Source organism: Homo sapiens, chromosome 1 (genome assembly GCF_000001405.40).
Source record: "Homo sapiens chromosome 1, GRCh38.p14 Primary Assembly".
In the NCBI taxonomy this organism is placed as follows: domain Eukaryota; kingdom Metazoa; phylum Chordata; class Mammalia; order Primates; family Hominidae; genus Homo; species Homo sapiens.
This window is the reverse complement of record NC_000001.11, coordinates 69,052,341-69,071,402: the sequence shown is the minus strand read 5'-3', so window position 1 is coordinate 69,071,402 and position 19,062 is coordinate 69,052,341. Positions and strand designations below refer to the sequence as shown.

Below are 19,062 nucleotides of genomic sequence, written 5' to 3'. Positions count from 1 at the left end.
CCCTATACAGGAGCGTTCCTAGTCAGGTCAGTGCCCCTTGAGGTCAGAGATCACAGAGGAAGGAGCAGGCACCCATCCTTTGCTTTTTTCCAGCCTCCTCGTGTGACATCCCCAGGTGCAGTGGTGCCCCAGATGAATAGGACCTGAAGTGAATCCCCAAAAAACTTCAACAGCCCTACAGAAGAGGAACCTGACTACTGAAAGTAAAGCAAACAAACAGAAAGCCTCAACAGCAATCAACAAAAAGTCCCCACGAAAACCTCATCAAAGCAGCCTCAAAGATCAAAACTAGACAAACTCATGAAGATAAAAAGAATCAATGAAAAAAACACTGAAAACTCACAAGGCTAGAGTGCCTCTTCTCCTCCAAATGATCATAATATCTCTCCAGCAAAGGAACAAAACTGGACAGAGAAGGAAATGGACGAATTGACAGAAGTAGCTTCAGAAGGTGGGTAATAACAAAGTGCTGAGGTAAAGGAGCATGTTCTAACCCAATGCAAAGAAGCTAAGAACCATGACGAAAGGTTACTGTAAGTCCTTACTAGCATAACCAGTTTAGAGAGGAACATAAATGACCTGAGAAACACAGCATGAGAACTTCGTGATGCATACACAAGTATCAATAGCTGAATCAATCAAGTGGAAGAAAGAACATCAGAGCTTGAAGACTATCTCATTGAAATAAGCTAGGGAGACAGGAATAGAGAAAAAAGAATGAAACGGAATGAACAAAACATCCGAGAACTATGGGACTCTGTAAAATGACCAAACCCATGACTGATTGGAGTACCTGAAAGAGATGAGGAGAATGAAACCAAGTTGGAAAACACACTTCAGCATACCATCCAGGAGAAATTCCCCAACCTAGCAATACAGACCAACATTCAAATTCAGCAAATATGGAGAACCCCAGTAAGATACTCCATAAGAAGATCAACCCCAAGACACATAATCTTCAGATTCTCTAAGATTGAAATGAAGGAAAAAATGTTAAGAACATCCAGAGAGAAAGGCCAGGTCACCTACAAAGGGAAGCCCATCAGACTAACAGTAGAACTCCAGTAGAAGCCCTACAAGCCAGAAGAGATTGGGGGCCAATATTCAACATTCTTAAAGAAAAGAATTTTCAACCCAGAATTTCATATCCAGCCAAACTGAGCTTCATAAACAAAGGAGAAATAAAATCCTTTTCAGACAAGCAAATGCTGAGGGATTTCATCACCACCAGGCCTGCCTTGCAAGAACTCCTGAAGAAAGCACTAAATATAGAAAGGAAAAACTAGTACCAACCACTGCAAAAACACACTGAAATACAAATACCAATGACACTATGAAGAAACCATATCAACTAGTGTGCCAAATAACCAGATAGAATCATGATGACAGAATCAAATTCACACATAACAATATTAAACTCAAATGTAAATGGGCTAAGTGCCCCAATTAAAAGACACAGACTGGCCAAATAAGTAAAAAGTCAAGACTCATGAGTGTGCTGTATTCAAGAGACCCATCTCAAAGACACACATAGGCTCAAATTAAAGGGATGGAGGAAAATGTACTAAGCAAATGGAAAGCAGAAAAAAGCAGGGGTTGCAATCCTTATCTCTGACAAAATAGACTTTAAACCAACAAAGATAAAAAAAGACAAAGAAGGGCATTACATAATGGTAAAGGGTTCAAATAAACAAGAAGAGCTAACTATACTAAATATATATGCACCCATTGCAAGAACACCCAGATCCATGAAACAAGTTCATAGAGATCTACAAAGATACTTAGACTGACATACAATAATAGTGGAAGACTTTAACACCCCACTGTCAATATTAAACAGATCATTGAGAAAGAAAATTAACAAGGATATTTAGGACTTGAACTCAGCTCTGGATTAAGTGGACCTGATAGATATCTAGAGAACTCTCCACCCGAAAACAACAGAATAAACATTCTTCTCACACTTACTCTAAAATCAATCACATATTGGAAGTAAAACACTCCTCAGCAAATACAAAAAATACTGAAATCATAACAGTTTTTCAGACTACAGCACAATTGAATTAGAACTCAAGATTAAGAAATTCACTCAAAACCACACAATTACATGGACATTGAACAACCTGCTCCCAAATAAATCCTGGGTAAATAATGAAATTAAGGCAGAAATCAAGAAGTTCTATGAAAGGAATAAGAACAAAGTGAAAATGTACCAGAATCTCTGGGACGCAGCAAAAGCAGCGTTAAGAAGGAAATTTATAGTACTAAATGCCCATATCAGAAGGCTCAAAAGATCTCAAATCAACATTCTAACATTGAAACTAAAAGATCTAGAGAAGCAAGAGCAAACAAATCTAAAAGCTAGCAGAAGACAAAAAATAACTAAGATAAGATTGGAACTGAAGGAGATAGAGACATAAAGAATCCTTCAAAAAATCAATGAATCCAGGAGCTGGTTTTTGAAAAAAAACATAATAAAGTAGATAGACTGCTAGATAGACTAAGATGAAAAGAGAGAAAAATCAAATAGACACAATAAAAAATGATAAAAGGGGTATCACCACTGACCCCACAGAAACACAAAATACTGTCAGAGAATACTATAAACACCTCTATGCAAATGAACTAGAAAATTTAGAAGAAATGGATAAATTCCTGGATAAATGGATAAATTTCTGTTATTCAGTCTCTTCCTTGAATAGACCAATAACAAATTCTGAAATTGAGGCAGTAATAAATAGCTGACCAGCCAATAAAGGCCCAGGACCAGACAGATTCACAGCCAAATTCTACCAAAGAATAAAGAGGAGCAGGTACCATTTTTTTCTGAAACAATGCCAAATGGTTGAAAAGGAAGGACTTCTCCCTAACTCATTTTCTGAGGCCAGCATCATCCTGATACCAAAATCTGGCAGAGACACACACAAAAAAGAAAAGTTCAGGCCAATATCCCTGATAAACATTGATGTGAAAATTCTCTATAAAATACTGGCAAACTGAATCCAGTGGCACATCAAAAAGCTTATCCACCATGATCAATGTGGCTTTATTGCCAGAATGCAAGACTGGTTCAACACACACAAATCAATAAGCATAATTCATCACAGAAGCAGAACCAGTGACAAAAACCACATGATTATCTCAACAGATGCAGACAACACCTTTGATAAAATTCAACATCCCTTCCTGTTAAAAACTCTCAATAAACTAGTTACTGATGGAACATATCTCAAAATAGTAAGAACCATTTATGGCAAACCCACAGCCAATATCAAACTGAATGGGCAAAAACTGGAAGCATTCCCTTTGAAAACCAGCACAAGACAAGGATGCCCTCTCTCAACATTCGTATGAAACATAGTATTGGATGTTCTGGCCAGGGCAATCAGGTAAGAGAAAGAAATAAAGGGTATTCAAATAGGAGGAGAGGAAGTCAAATTATCTCTATTTGCAAACAACATTATCCTATATCTAGGAAACCCCATCATCTCAGCCCAAAAGCTCCTTTAGCTGATAAGCAACTTCAGCAAAGTCTCAGAATACAAAATCAATGTGACAAAATCACAAGCATTTCTATACACCAACAATAGACAAGCAGAGAGATAAGTCATGAATGAACTCCCATTCACAACTGCTACAAAGAGAATAAAATGCCTAGGAATACAGCTAACAAGGGATATGAAGGACCTCTTCAAGGAGAAATATAAACCACTGACTGCTCAAGGAAATAAGAGAGGACACAAACAAATGGAAAAATATTGCATGCTCATGGATAGGAAGAATCAATATAAAAATGGCCATCCTGCCCAAAGTAATTTATAGATTCAGTGTTATTCCCATTGAACTACCATTGACATTTTTCACAGAATTTTTTTTTTAAACTATTTTAAAATTTACATGAAACTGGCCAGGCATGGTGGTTCATGCCTGTAATCCCAACACTTTGGGAGGCTAAGGTGCGTGGATCATCTGAGGTCAGAAGTTTGAGACCAGCCTGGCCAACATAGTAAACCCCATCTCTACTAAAAGTACAAAAATCAGCTGGGTGTGGTGGCATGCACCTGTAATCCCAGCTACTCAGGAGGGTGAGGCAGGAGGGTCACTTGAACCCAGGAGGGGGAGGTTGCAGTGAGCCAAGATTGTCCCACTGCACTCCAGCCTAGGTGACAAAGTGATACTCCATCTCAAAATAAACAAATAAAATAAAATAAAATTTACATGAAACCAAAAAACCCATATAGCCAAGACAATCCTAAGCAAAAAGAATGCAGCTCAGCTGGAGGCATCACGCTATCCGACTTCAAACTATACTACAATGCTACAGTATCCAAAACAGCATAGTACTGGTACCAAAATAGACAAATAAACCAATGGAACAGAATAGAGATCTCAGAAATAAGTCCACACGTCAACAACCATCTGATGCTTGACAAACCTGACAGAAAAAAATCAATGGGGAAAGTATTCCCTATTTAATAAATGGTGCTGGGAAGACTGGCTAGCCATATGCAGAAAACTGAAACTGGACTCCTTCATTGGATTTTATACAAAAATTTTAGGATGAATTAAAGACTTAAATGTACAACACAAAACCATAAAAACCCTAGAAGAAAATCTAGGCAATACAATTCAAGACATAGGCATGGGCAAAGATTTTATGATGAAATTGCCAAAAGCAATTTCAACAAAAGCAAAATTGATAAATGGGATCCAATTAAACTAAAGAGCTTCTGTACAGCAAAAAAACTATCATCGGTGTGAACCAGCAGCCTACAGAATGGGAGAGAATTTTTGCAATCTACCCATCTGACAAATGACTAATATCCAGAATTTACAGGAAACTTAAAAAAGTTTACAAGAAAAAAACAAAGAACTCCATCAAAAATTGGGCAAAGGACATGAACAGACCACTTCTCAAAAGAAGACATTTATGGGGCCAACAAACATGAAAAAAAGCTCAACATCACTGATCATTAGAGAAATGCAAGTCAAAACCACAATGACATACCATCTCATGCCAGTAAGAATGGAAATTATTAAAAAGTCAGGAAACAACAGATGCTGGCAAGGCTTTGGAGAAATAGGAATGCTTTTACATTGATGGCGGGAAAGTAAATTAGTTAAACCACTGTGGAAGACAGTGTGGCAATTCCTCAAGGATCTGGAACTAGAAATCCCATTTGACCCAGAAATCCCATTACTAGGTATGTACCCAAAGGAATATAAATCATTCTATTATAAAGATACATTCACATGTATGTTTATTGCAGCACTATTCACAATAGCAAAGACTTGGAATCAACCAAAATGCCCATCAATAATAGACTGGATAAAGAAAATGTGATACATACACACCATGGAATTCTATGCAGCCATAAAAAGGAATGAGATCATGTTTTTTGCAGGGACATGGATGAAGCTGGAAGCCATCATCCTCAGCAAACTAACACAGGAACAGAAAACCGAACACTGCATGTTCTCACTCATAAGGGGGAGCTGAACAATGAGAACACAGGGACACAGGGAGGGAAACACCACACACCAGGGTGTGTTGGGGGGAAGGAGGGAGGGAGAGCATCAGGATAAATAGCTAAGTCATGTGGGCCTTAATACCTAGGTGATGGGTTGATAGGTCCAACAAACCACCATGGCATACATTTACATATGTAACAACCTGCACATTCTGCATATATATCCTGGAACTTAATAAAATAAAAATAAAATAAAATAAAAAACTATAGTATACTTGTTATTAAATTCTAGCTTCTTCCATTGTTTTTCAGTTTTTATTATTTACTTACAATTTAGATTGAATGCTGAATTCTTTCCTGACTACAAGTCTCTAAACAGATTTTTACATTTTTATTCTGTTTTTCTCACTTGGACTTAAAGAAATTGCCACTACCTTTTTCCTAAGGCCCTGCAAGCTTACGCGCATACCTTGAAATACAGGTGGGAAAAACTTGTCAGATTGCCACTGCCTTCTTTCACTTTAACTGAAGATGCTTTGAGTCTAACATCTGGACACTTCAACTGGCTGCCCTCCAGACTCTAAGGACATGGGTTCTTAGACTGCTCTCAACATTAATTTTCGCTTTCTTCTTTTGAAAGCCTATCTTCAATGTCATGTCCTAAAATTAGACACAGCTGTTTAATGAGACTGGCCTATTCCCAGAAATGGGAGAATGGTCAAATCGGATCCTTTTCCACTTAGCAATTAACTCAGTTTTTCCCTCCACATCTACCAACTCAGTTTTTAGTGGGTAAAACTTTTCTGAAGATTCCTTTGTCTGCCTAAATTCCAGACCCACCAAAGAGAACATTTTTTTCCTCCCCTCCATGTAATAGCAGAAAAGAGGACCCAAGAATGTAACCACATCTAAACAGAACCTTTGCAAAATAATGGCTATCTCTAAGAATCATTTAACTCCAAATAAAACTATTAAGAATTTGTTTCCTGATCCAATCATTCCCCCAAGTAATCATTTATTGCCCCTCAATAGTATTCCTCTTCTCCCTCGTCCCATAACCTGTTTTACCAGAATCTAAGCCCACCTTTTTTCTATAATCTCAAGATGGTATATAAGCTTAGGTACCTTATTGTGGGGAGGTCTTCATTCTGAAGGTTCTCATGTATAAATGTTAAATAAATTCATATGCCCTTTTCCCCATTAATTAATGTGCCTCATGTCAGTGATTTTTCAGTGAGTCTTTAAGGGAACAAAGAACCTGGCCCTCACAACATCAAGATTCTGTTTCCCAGAAGGAACAAAACCAGTAAGCAGCCATCGTATTGGAATTTTGTTACTTTAATAAGATATTTTTTTCTCCAAGTGTATTTTTCACAACTAGTCTAGTAAAGATAAGTTATTTATTCTGAGGACTAAACTCTGATTATTTAATCTTGCCCAAATTCTTATCTAAAGGGTCTGGTGAGTCATGCCCTACAAATCATAAATTCTCATTAGATGGGTGATATTTAACCATGTCTATTGTGACTTACTTTCCAGCCTGACTCTAGCATAACATTAGAAGACAAGCAAGAAAATCAAAATATTTAACCCCAAAACATGGTTTTTGTTTTGTTTTGTTTTGTTTTTGTTTTTGCCATATTCTGAAATGACCCTATTCTTTGTGGGGGAAAATTTGCGTCTATAGAGAATCTCTATTAACACAGCTAGATCTTTTTCTTCCAGACCCTCCCAATCCCAAAGAGATTAACTAAGATCTGAACAGGAAACATTTGTCATCTATTGTGTCTAAGGGAAGCCACTATAAGACTTCAAAAGAACTTTGGTTTCCACAGTCTTTATCTTAACCTGAACATTCCCTTTCTATCAATCCCAGGTCTTTGGACAAACTCAACCAATTTGTCAATCAGAAAATGTTTAAATTTACCTATAGCCTGGGAGCCCTCACTTTGAGTTTTCCCACCTTTCTGGACCAAATCAATGTATTTCTTAAATGTTTGATTGATGTCTCACGCTTCTCTGAAATGTATAAAACCAAGCTGCGCCCCAACCACCTTGGGCACATGTTCTCAGGACCTCCTGAAGGCTGCATCACAGGCCATGGCCACTCACATTTGGCTCAGAATACATCTCTTTAAATATTTTACAGAGTTCATCTCTTTTCGTCAACAACTCCTAACACCTAGCTGAAATCACCTTACAGAGAAAAGGCTTTTGAAGGACATGAAGAAAAAGGGGGCATATGGGATGAAGAAAAAGGAGGCATATGGGATGTTAAGTGCCAGATGAAATTTAAACAGCTAAAATATAGGTGAGGCCAAAAGAGCACCAGGGTAAACAAGAACAGTAAAAGATAGAAAAAAATGAGGAAACAAAAACAAATTTGCAAATTTTGAAAACTTGCTGAGGATTCAAATAACTTTAACCCTGTAATTGGGTTGGATTGCTTTAAAATATGCTTTAAAAATATTACCACTGTCAGAGACCAGAATATGCCACTTCAAAATATGACTGTAAGAGACCAGAATATGCCACCCCAAAATACGACTGTAGGAGGCCAGAATATGCCACCTCAAATGTGCCTCTTTGGCATAAGGATTACTTTGAGCTGATTATTTTGAGAAACAGCAGACACAGGAAAAGCTCTAAAACAGAGTAGAAGTTACCCTTTTATAATGGAAATTTACATTTATAAAGAAAATCTCTATTTGTAATGGTGTCTCCTTCTCTGTACCAGGAAAATCAGGATGACTGTAAATCACAAGAGAGACTAGTCTATGGAGAAGGTACTGACTTTAATCTACATAGCAAAACTTATTCTTGTCTAATGTGCTTTTCTTGGTTTCCTCCCTGTAACTGACTTTGCCAACACCCTTCTTTCTTTGATTTAGCTAAAGGTGATATTTAGGCCTGAATCTAAGCCACCACTTTGAACTACACATTGCTCTGGGTATCTCCCACGTATATATGAAATATAAATGTTAATAAACTTGTTTGTTTTGCTCCTGTTAATTTGTCTTTTGTTACAAGGACCGCAGCCAAGAACTTATCAGGGAAGAGACAAAATTATTTTTTCCTTACTCATATAACTTATATTTTAATATGTACCACTAGCTGGCTGCAGGATCAATTTCTTCCAGTATAGATGCAAAGTTCAGTATTAATTTTCTCACTGTGTTGTTGTAGGAGTTATTAAGAAATTATTTTAGGCAGATAGAGAGGAAGAGGGCTACTTGGAAAGTTTTTATTTCCTTGAAAGCAGCTCCAGAAATGTTTCTTGTCTAGCAGGAAAGCCCCAGGTCTTAGAGCTGGGCAGGCAACCTTTGATATCCAAATATTAGCCATTAGTAACTGGGTCCACCCAAACATGGAAATTCCAGCTGTCTTCTTCCTTGCCCCCACCTATCCCCGCACATGTAGAACATCATGGTGCCCTGCATTTGCATATTAAAAGCCTAGGGTGGGAGGGCCAGTTTTGTTTTTTTTTTGTTGTTGTTGTTGTTGTTGTTTTGCGAGTGACATGCCTGGTCAAATCAATCCCCTGAGCCCTATGCAAATCAGACACCACCTCCTCCCACCTCCTTATATAAGCAGCCACTTTTCCGTTGCACAAGGGATTTCCTCTCTTGGTTCTGGAGCCCGCCTCCCTCTGTCTCTGTGTGAGGGAGCTTCTTCCTCCTTACTTGCCTATTAAACTCTCCGCTCCTTAAAACCACTCCATGTGTGTCCATGTCATTTTATCTAATTCGACTCGAGGCAAAGAACCCTGGTGATTCTCCACTCAGTGGAGCCATATCAGTGTGTAATGTATTTTGAACTCAAATTACAAACACACTGCTTCTTTTTTAAAAGCAAATTACATGAGACATTAGAAGTCAGTTCATGGGTTTATCAGTCTTTCAACCTTTGTAAGACTTCTCACCTTTGGAGCATGAACGCCCCTCACCATGCCACAGCCCAATGGGTTCAGCTTGCCCACTGGCCAACTGAGTAATAGAGAAAGAGTAATTCATGCAGAGCCAGCTGTGTGGGAGACTAGAGTTTTATTATTACTCAAATCAGTCTCCTTGAGCATTTGGGGATCAGAGTTTTTAAGGACAACTTGATCAGTTGGGGAAGCCAGTGAGCTGGGAGTGCTGATTGGTCAGGTAGGAGATGAAATCATAGGGAACTGAAGCTGTGCTCTTGCACTGAGTCAGTTCCTGGGTGGGGGCCACAAGAGCAGATGTGCCAGTTTATCCATCTGGGTGGTGCCAGCTGATCCATCAAACACAGGAAAATATCCGCCAAATATCGCAAGCACTAACTTTAGGAACAGTTTAGGGAGGGTCAGAATCTTGTATCTTCCAGATGCATGACTTCTAAACCATAATTTCTAATCTTGTGGCTAATTTGTTAGTCCTACAACGGCATTCTAGTCCCTGGGCAAGAAGGAGGTTTGTTTTGGGAAAGGGCTGTTATTGCCTTTGTTTTAAACTATAAACTAAGTTCCTCCCAAAGTTAGCCAGTCTATGCCCAGGAAATAACAAGGGCAGCTTAAAGGTTAGAAGCAAAATAGAGTCAGTTAGTTTAGATCTCTTTCACTGTCTCAGTCCTAATTTTGCAAAGGCGGTTTCACCCAGATGAACATTAAATGTCTTCTACTTCAAAGTACTTGAGTCTCTTTTCTGAACTTCTGACTTCGATTGACATTTTGTGCTTGAAAATCCCAAATAGCCAGTAGAAGTAAATTATCTATAAACAAATGAAAGACTGATCTTGGATCAAGCAATAGATGAAAGAGATAAGCTGTAAAACTAGAATGGCTTACAAAGAGAAGGCAAGCATTTAAGATCAGAGAACGTTGTGACACTATAAGAAGTTAATGAGAACTCCTAAAAGATGTAAAAATAACTGTCCCTACAAACCAAGGAAGATAAGACACCTAAGCAGCTGGCAAAGATTCTTTATTCTTAATTAATTCTCTATTTAGTTAATATGCTGAGTAGAAGGTTTTGCCACATGTCCATCTGTACTAGGGTTATTAAAGGAATATATGAGTTAATGAAAAAACAAAGGCTGTACTCTAGCTCTCTAGCTCACATTGTAAAAATCAAAACTTTATAAAATTTAATCTTTTAAAAAAGGGAGCCAACCTGTGAGAGGAAGGAAAGCATAGCCACCTTTTCCTTTTATTTTAGCTAATCTTATTTTATTTTATTGTAATTTAACAGCAAGATGGGCAGCTGGACTTAATGAGCAAATGTAGCTCATCGCTAGCAACAAAAATTCTCTCTTCCTTCCAGATTAAAATGGAGAGAACTGAAGCTTTTGCTATTTAATCGAATTGCTGGTTTCATGGAGATAATCAATGTTGTCAATAAGAAGTATCTAATACATGGCCATGCCAAAGTAAACAATGCATAAGGGAGTAAATTACATTTCACTTGAAATGCTTGGCTTCTGCTATTGCACTTTTTGTTTTTATCTTGTAAAAGTGTTTGTGTACACTGCTGGCAGAGTACATATCATGATAAATCTTTCTCTATTAAACACACTTAGGGTTCCGGGACTTTGCATTTTCCTACCTGGAAATAGACTCCCTGGTTCCCCCTCCTTTCTCTTACCCCCTCCCCCATCTTTAATGCAACATCTTACCACCCTAGCATTTAACACTTCCGAAAGATGAATTATACCAGTATATCCTTCAGTCAGCAAAAATACCCAGGCTATGTAACTAGAGAAGGACGCAGCTTTTACAAATGCCTGTCATCATATTTAGCACAAAGAGGTAACAGTCTTCTTAAATAATACCCTTACATTTCTCTTTTCTGTGACCTATGGACTTGAGGTTTAAATAGTTTGCAGCTGAAGACTGTTAATTATCATCCTTGGCAATCATTTGCATTTATATAGCAACTTTTATAGGAGCAAATCAAATCATTAAAGCTATTATACTAATGAATGCAAGGCGGTAAGTGTCATTACTTCCATGTACGTGGTGATTCAGTGAGGGTCTCAGAGGGGCCAAGAGAGGAGCCAATTAAGTTCAGGTCACCCAGGTACCTTCCCAGACTCAAATGGTTCCCATGGAGCTCAAGGACCTTGACAGAAATTCCCCAAAACTTTGTTAAGGTCACTTCTGAGCCTAATAAAAAAATTATTTTCTAAAATTGTTGGGAGGCTCTGATTTTACATTTGTGACAGATAAACCCTGTGTATCAGCCTGTATCTGGAGGAGTCCAGCAGTCTTTTCTTGTAAATATATATCTTCATCAAAAAATTCACAAATTCCATCAGAGGTGTGTTCCTGACACTGAGGGACTAGACATTTTGCTTAATCAGGCCCATCAAATTGAGTCTTTGAAAGGTTTTAGAATTGTAGCCTCTCAAGATTAAAACTGACATTGAGGTTATCTGCTTTGATCCCCTCTGAATTTCCTCTATGGCAGTCTACCAAGAGGTCCACTAGCTTATATTTAATTCCAGATACACAGCCAAACAATCACCAATGAAAGAAATTCTGGGTGATAAGACAAAGTCTCTTATTTATTCAGCAGCTTTTAATAGATACTTATAAAACTCTACATAATGCCTTGCCAGTGCCACAGCCTGAGGATACAGCAAAAAACAAGAGAAACACAGTTTCTATCCTCAGGAACCTTTGCCAAATCCCTCTTTACCATGCTGTTAGGATTCCAAAACAGGTTGAGGAAGAATGATATCTGCCTTCCCTGAGCACTACGCCTGAGAGGCTGGAAAAGTCTGCTGGACTACCTTTTTACTCCTGGTAATCACATTCGAAACACTTCAACAAAACATTTCATTAAAAGAAAAAGTCATTTTCTCTGCCACTTGAACTTTTAAATCCTAAAACTTTCTCTGCTCAGCCCTGTGCTTACCTATGATAAACTGTTTCTGAATTCAGTAATTATTTTCGGGGCTGTTTATAAATACTATGTATAACAGCATTTTCTCCTGGCTTATAGGAAGAATACTGGTTCACATATTTTTCCCATTGCCTCAAGCATGGTGCCACCAGCAGACATACTTTCTCCAAGTCAAAAATTGAAGCCTCAAAGTAACTAATAGCAAAGAAACATAACAACATTTACATTCTCAGTCTAGTAACTTTTTTTTTTCCTGTTCTTTTCTTTCTTTCTTTTTATTGGGTTGTGGGGGTGGTGGGAGTGGGTCAGACTATTGGATCTCCAAATAACTTTGGGAACTGGAATGAGATAATGCACACTCCCACACCGACATTTTTATTACACCCTCCCCCAGGCATTTGTTTGAGGCTCAGTGGCATTTCCCAAGCAATCGAAAACAATTAAATGATTATTGTTCTGGTCCTGTGCTACTTTACTAACTGTCACATTAAGATGACAGATGCTTTCTTATTTATCCAAGGGCAATTTCTTTCTAACAACTCAATAGAATTGTCTGAAAGATGAGACGGCAAGGTCATAAAGACAGGGGGAGAGGATGGCTATTCAGGTAGGGTCTAATGGAGTCTCCAGGATTCAGGATTTGGTCTTGCCAGACCTCAGATCACAATACCACAATACCACAAATATGGCATCTTGGCATGTTGAGCATCTTAAGCAGAAGGAAATCAAGAAATCCACAGCAGCAGCAAGGTTGTCACCCTGACTTTCTGCCTTTATGTCCTGAAGCAGGTCATAAAAGAAGCCTCTGACTACTTTTGCTGAAAGTAAGTCAGAAGACCCTCGTTCCACAGGGTCTTTACTCTTCATCTAGAAACCAAGAAGAATCTGAAAAAACAGGCATTAGTAAGTTCCTCCAGCTTATTAGAATTAGATCATACTCTTTGTCTTCCAGTCACACTTCTGCGCGACTATCCATAAAAGTAGGGTTTTCCATAGATATTTGGGTCTTTATTTCTGAACACTTCTATGTCATATAAAACTACTAAATAAATTTATATATTTTTTCTTATTAATCTGCCTTTTGTTATAGAGGTGTCAGCCATGAACCTCGCAATGGGTGAGGAGAAAAATATATATTTTTTTCTCTCCTACAGCCTTCAACTTTAAATAATTTTTTTTCATACCCAGAGTTCACTGGGGCCTTGGGACTAACGTTGTTAGCCATTTCATAAGTCATCAAAATATAAGTTGAATTTCTAAGCAGTAATTTTCAAAGGGAAATATAGCTTTAGCTGATTAGAATACTTATGTCTAAGATTTTAAGGGACCTATTGCTAGTGTCAGTGTTCACAGAAAGATAAATATTACTGAAAAGGCTTGACTGTAAAAAAACATGTAATATACTGAGAATAAAATAGAACAGAGCTAATGTGGTGGACTCTCGAGTTAGAAATCAGCAGCTTAAATCTCAGCATCACCAGTTGCTAACAATGAAACTAATTACTTCGCATCTCAATTGGTTTATCAGCAAAATTACTATAAGAATAGTTCCTAATTCATGTGAGAAACAAATGAACACAGAACACAGCTCTGAGTAAGCACTCAATATATATTAGATATGTTTCTGAAATCACAGTAAAAAGATTTGCACAATCTAAAACCATATTTCACCCAAAGTCTGATGAACTCTCTGAGATCACAGTGGAATTTACTGCACCGGTGCTTCACAACTGGAGTTTACCAGATTCACATTCTTCTCCTTTGGGTAGCTTTATCTAAGTTTTCCCAGAGTCTTACCATTTCTCACCACACCCCAGGCAAACTTTTCGTTATTCTAAGACTCAGCATTTTTCTTAAGCCTCCTCCTGGTGACTACTCTTGTCTTCATTATTGGTTTGAGATGTTGTCAAGTTTTCCCCACTATGTATTTCCAAACCACCACTTAGAGTAAGACTTTTTTTAGAGATGGACAGTCTATTGATTAATGAGTGATTTGTACTAGGTTCAATTTAAAGCTAGATTTAAATTATTATCCAGAAACCAGTCTCTGAGAGCACTTGGGTTTGTAAAACCCCCTATGTGCTTACTAGAACTGGAATATTCTAGAGCTGTGCTCTCCGATAAGATAGTCACTTATTCCACTTGGCTGCTGAACATTAATCCATATTGAGCATGTTGTAAGTGTAAAATGCACCCCAGGTTTCAGACTTTAGTAAAAGAACAAAATGTAAACAATACCATAAATAAATGTTAGTATTAATTACATGTTAAAATAGACTATTGTTGATTTTTGGGTTCAACAAATACATAAATGATTAACTTCACTTGTTTCTTTTTACTTTTAAATTTTAAAATTTTTTTTTTTTTTTTTTGGTCGGGGGAGTCTTGCTCTGTCACCAGGCTGGAGTGCAGGGGCACGATCTTGGCTCACTGCATCCTCCGACTCCCTGGTTCAAGCGATTCTCCCGCCTCAGCCTTCTGAGTAGCTGGAATTACAGGCAGGTGCCACCATGGCCAGCTAATTTTTGTACTTTTATTAGAGACAGGGTTTCACCATGTTGGCCAGGCTGGTCTCAAACTCCTGACCTTGTGATCTGCCTGCCTTGGCCTCCCAAAGTGCTGGAATCACAGGGGTGAGCCACCGGGCCCGGCCCCTTTTTACTTCTTCAATGTGATTATTAGAAAATTTACAACTACATATGTGGCTAGGAATAATTTTGATATAATCAAAATAAATGAACAATGATGTTTATCATAACACTATTTTGCAAACAACCTAAAATATTCATCCACAGGGAAATGATAAGCTATATTAGTATACATCCACCCTAAGGAATGCCTTGTAGCCCTTTAAACTGAACATATCGATTACTATTTCTTTTAGTTAGCAACTGCTGCTTTCACTGCCCAGTTCCCATTCTCCCAAACCCCAATTTTTTCAGAAAAATTACCCTAATTTTCTCTGGAAAATCATTCGTTCATATTCTCAGTCTTTACTCTCTGAGCTGGTCCTACCTTTAAGATGCAGAAGGCAGGTAATCCAAGTTTGGCCAATTTGTGTCTTTATCCTCCAGCCTCAGTAATTTGTTCAAGAGTGGGCACTTGCTTGAAGTCAGTTCAGAGCAAATTTGGACTTTCAAAGAACTGGACTTGAAGGAAAGAAGACTGTTAAAGCCTGTTGATATTTGTAGCCAGTTGTCCTCTTCTCAGTGACCACCCATATGTGAAGTCAGTCCCATTGTTACAGTGTTACCAATGTACCACAATGTAGCAGTCTTTCATTGTGATGTGTCACCTGGAGTTCTTTGTCTCAAAACAGAGAGAATTAAGGAACGTGGACACAAAGGGTGAGGTTGGAGCAAAAATTTAATAAGTGAAAGAAGCTCTCTGCAGCAGAGAAGGGGACCAAACGGGTTGCTGTTTTTACAGTTGAATGCAGAGGCTTTTATAAGAAACTGATGGGGCCTGGATGTCTAATTTTCACAAGGCACAAATTTCTGGTAGCTCCATCCCCATCCTCCTAGTGTGTATGTGGGCCCTTAGCTTGAGTTACTCTATATTGCTTTGTTCCCCTTAACTGCACATGTGTTAGAGGATGGAATTTTCTATCGTGGGCATGTCTGGGCAGGTCACCTGTGTAGCCTTTCTTGTCTGTGCTGCAGTAGGCATGTCTTAGGCAAGCTCTGCTGTGCAAGTTCCCTTATCTGTGCCCACAGCTTGATTTTTCAGGCTGTTCTTTTGTTCAAAAGAATTCAACCAAGGGCCCACCCTAACCGTCTGCTTGACCATTTTCTTCTGTTCTCCTCTCTCACAATCAAAGCTAATCTTTGAGCTTTCAAAGAACTGAATCTGAAGGTGGCAGGATCACATATGACACTGTTGATATTTTAGCCAAGTTGTCTCCTTTATAGTGACCAAACAAAGTTCATGCCCTCATGGAATCAACAGGTTAAGGTAATGTAGAATACTTTAGAGTAAGTAAAATAGACTAATAAAATAGAGGCAGGGTGAGGAGGGGCCTACTTTATCTAAGATTGTCAGAGTAAACATTTCTAAGAAGATGACATTTGAGCTGAGAACTGAATGAAAAAAAGAAAACAAACAAACAAACAAAAAATCCAGATACATGAAGACCAGGGAAAATGTGGACGATGATAGGCAAAATTTCTAAGGAAGGAAGAGCCTAGACATGACTGAATATTAAAAGGAAGTCTACTGGGAATAGGGAACCAGGCAAAAATATTAAGAGAATAAACTATAAAGACAGGTGACATCTAGATTATGTAAGGCCTTGCAGACATTGCATTTGAAATTTATTCAATTTGCAGTGCAAAGCCATTGGAAAATTTTAAGCAGAAAGGTGATGTCCACAAAACTTAGAGAAAAATATTTCGTTTTTTTGCTCTTATAATAGGTTTTCCATAGTCAAGTATCTTAAGCTCACTAGAAGGAAAAAATAAAGGTATATTTATAAATATCATTCAGAGTAATCTTATTTGTGAAATTTCTAACATGTCATAATTCTCATTATTATTTTTTTTGAGACAGAATCTCACTCTGTCACTCAGTCTGGAGTGCAGTGGTATGATTCAGCTCACTGCAACATCTGCCTCCTGGGTTCAAGCGATTCTTGTGCCTCAGCCTCCCGAGTAGCTGGGATTACAGGCAAGTGCTACCATGCCCTGCTGATTTTTGTATTTTTAATAGAGACGAGGTTTTACCATGTTGCCCAGGCTGTTCTTGGACTCCTGACCTCAGGTGATCCGCCTATCTCAGCCTCCCAAGTGCTGGGATTACAGGCGTGAGCCACTGCACCAGACCTATTATTAATTTTTAAAACATGATAGTTATGCCAATTGCTGTGTAAGTGTGATATTGCATAAAGCAGAGCTATAGTGTTTCTCCAGCCTAGTTCCCATTCAATCTGAACAGTGTTCTGGAGGTGAGGACAACAGAAATAAGGGAGTTAGGAATCAAAAGGCTGGTGAGTGTTCTAGAGGAGAACAACTAAGACAACCACACAAATGAATAGTCTCAGAGCCTCTGTTCCAGAAATCAAGAGAGGTCTAAAAGAAAAACTGGCAAGATAAAGCTGTAAGTGACATTTCACATTTGATATTGATTTTGTTTTTTGCTCCTAGGTATAACTAACACCCTATTCTTGACCGCATCTGTAGGAAACTAAAAAAACATGTTTTTTTTTTTTTCATTAAGCAGATGTGTGAATGCCATTTGCTTTTCACTAATGGCTAAAAACACTTAGTTTACCAAACCAATCCACTTAGGCTTAGGTAATAGATACTGAAAACAAACTAAAATTGAAATCCTAGAGAGCTTTGTGAAAAATTGTGAGTTACTTTTCAGCAAGTAACTTACTCTCAGGTTTCCCATGGTAAGCACATTCTATGCTCTTTAGGGGTGGCCAGTTGCTTGTTCGTTTTTTGTTTGTTTGCTGTTTGTTTGCTTTTTGTTTGTTTTTTTTGAGACAAAGTCTCGCTCTGTTGTCCAGGCTGAGTGCTCGGCTCACTACAACCTCCATCTCCTGGGTTCAAGTGATTCTTCTGCTTCAGTTTCCTTAGTAGCTAGGATTACAGGTGCCCATCATCACTCCTGGCTAATTTTTTGTATTTTTAGTAGAGATGGGGTTTCACTATGTTGGCCAGGCTGTTCTCAAATTCCTGACCTCGTGATGGGGTGGTCATTTTTTAAACCTTCTTCAATATGCAGTGCCCCATCACTAGTACCTAGAACTGCATCCTGCCCCCTATGTCAAGCAAAACCTATGCCTGTCTTCACCACAATCAGTGAATATGACTAAATAGAGGTGCTAAACATACTTACGGTTACATATATTTTTATTGAACAAACATTTATTGAGCACTTATTTACAAATTACTACTTATAAGAAATACTATGAAAAACACAAGCAAGGTGTCTGTTCAAGGAGCTCAAACAATCATTAAAGCACAGTGGGGTAAGTGATATAATGAACATATCCATAAGATATTACAGAAACATAGAAAAGTTATATGGGGGTACTTCCTGAAGATGATGATGCTTGAACTGATCCTTGAAAGAAACATAAGAAATAACCACAATAAGAAGCAGTGAGGGGCACTCCAGGGAGAGGCAGGAGAAAACATGAAGTATGAGACAATATATTGTTAATCTGATTGTATAATTCAAGCATCTGGCAATAGGCGGAAAGAAGAAAACACATTTAGGCCTTTTACATCTCTAAAATCAGTAAATAAGATCTACAGGTAATATGCTGATGAACAAAACATAAAACAAAAATAGAAATCAATATAATCAAAAGCTTAAGGGATTTAATAAACTATCCAGTTAAGTAAAATGACATCCATTCTATTTCTGGTGTGTTCCAATATTTATTTTTAGATATTTATTTTTTAAGTTAATCCACAAGTTTAAAAATATTATAGTCTGCTTTATTCCAATGCTATTTTGAAGCAGTCTTATAAATATACACATCAATCACTAAATAACAAGGTAAGAAAAAGTAAAGGTGATGGGGAATAAATCATACATAATATTTATGCAGTACATTTATGCTATAAGGCCTGTGGTTCCATAGGTCACTAGCTATCCCTTCAAGGAAACTTGCTATGAGCACAGTAGCTGGAAAAGATCTTCCAGTTACCACATCTTTCGATCCTCTACAGTTCAGTGTTTTCCCCAAGGCCATGCTCACTCAGAGTTGC

At 38.0% G+C, this 19,062-nt stretch overlaps 1 long non-coding RNA gene across 1 annotated transcript in view, besides 1 other annotated feature; it reads right to left on the bottom strand.

Annotated features, from left to right (window-relative positions):
* LINC01707 (long intergenic non-protein coding RNA 1707) overlaps positions 1–15,505 on the bottom strand; it is a 129,106-nt gene extending 113,601 nt beyond the window's left edge. Inside the window, exon 1 of the long non-coding RNA NR_146608.1 lies at positions 15,356–15,505. This is a non-coding gene — a long non-coding RNA (long intergenic non-protein coding RNA 1707). The remainder of the gene's footprint in view (positions 1–15,355) is intronic.
* Positions 15,297–16,496: an enhancer, noted in NCBI's record as "MED14-independent group 3 enhancer chr1:69520590-69521789 (GRCh37/hg19 assembly coordinates)". NCBI's record gives its function as "activates an origin of replication core promoter dependent on BRD2, BRD4, P300/CBP and CDK7 cofactors, and independent of MED14, by STARR-seq in HCT116 cells {active_cell/tissue: HCT116}" and the evidence as "EXISTENCE:reporter gene assay evidence [ECO:0000049][PMID:35650434]".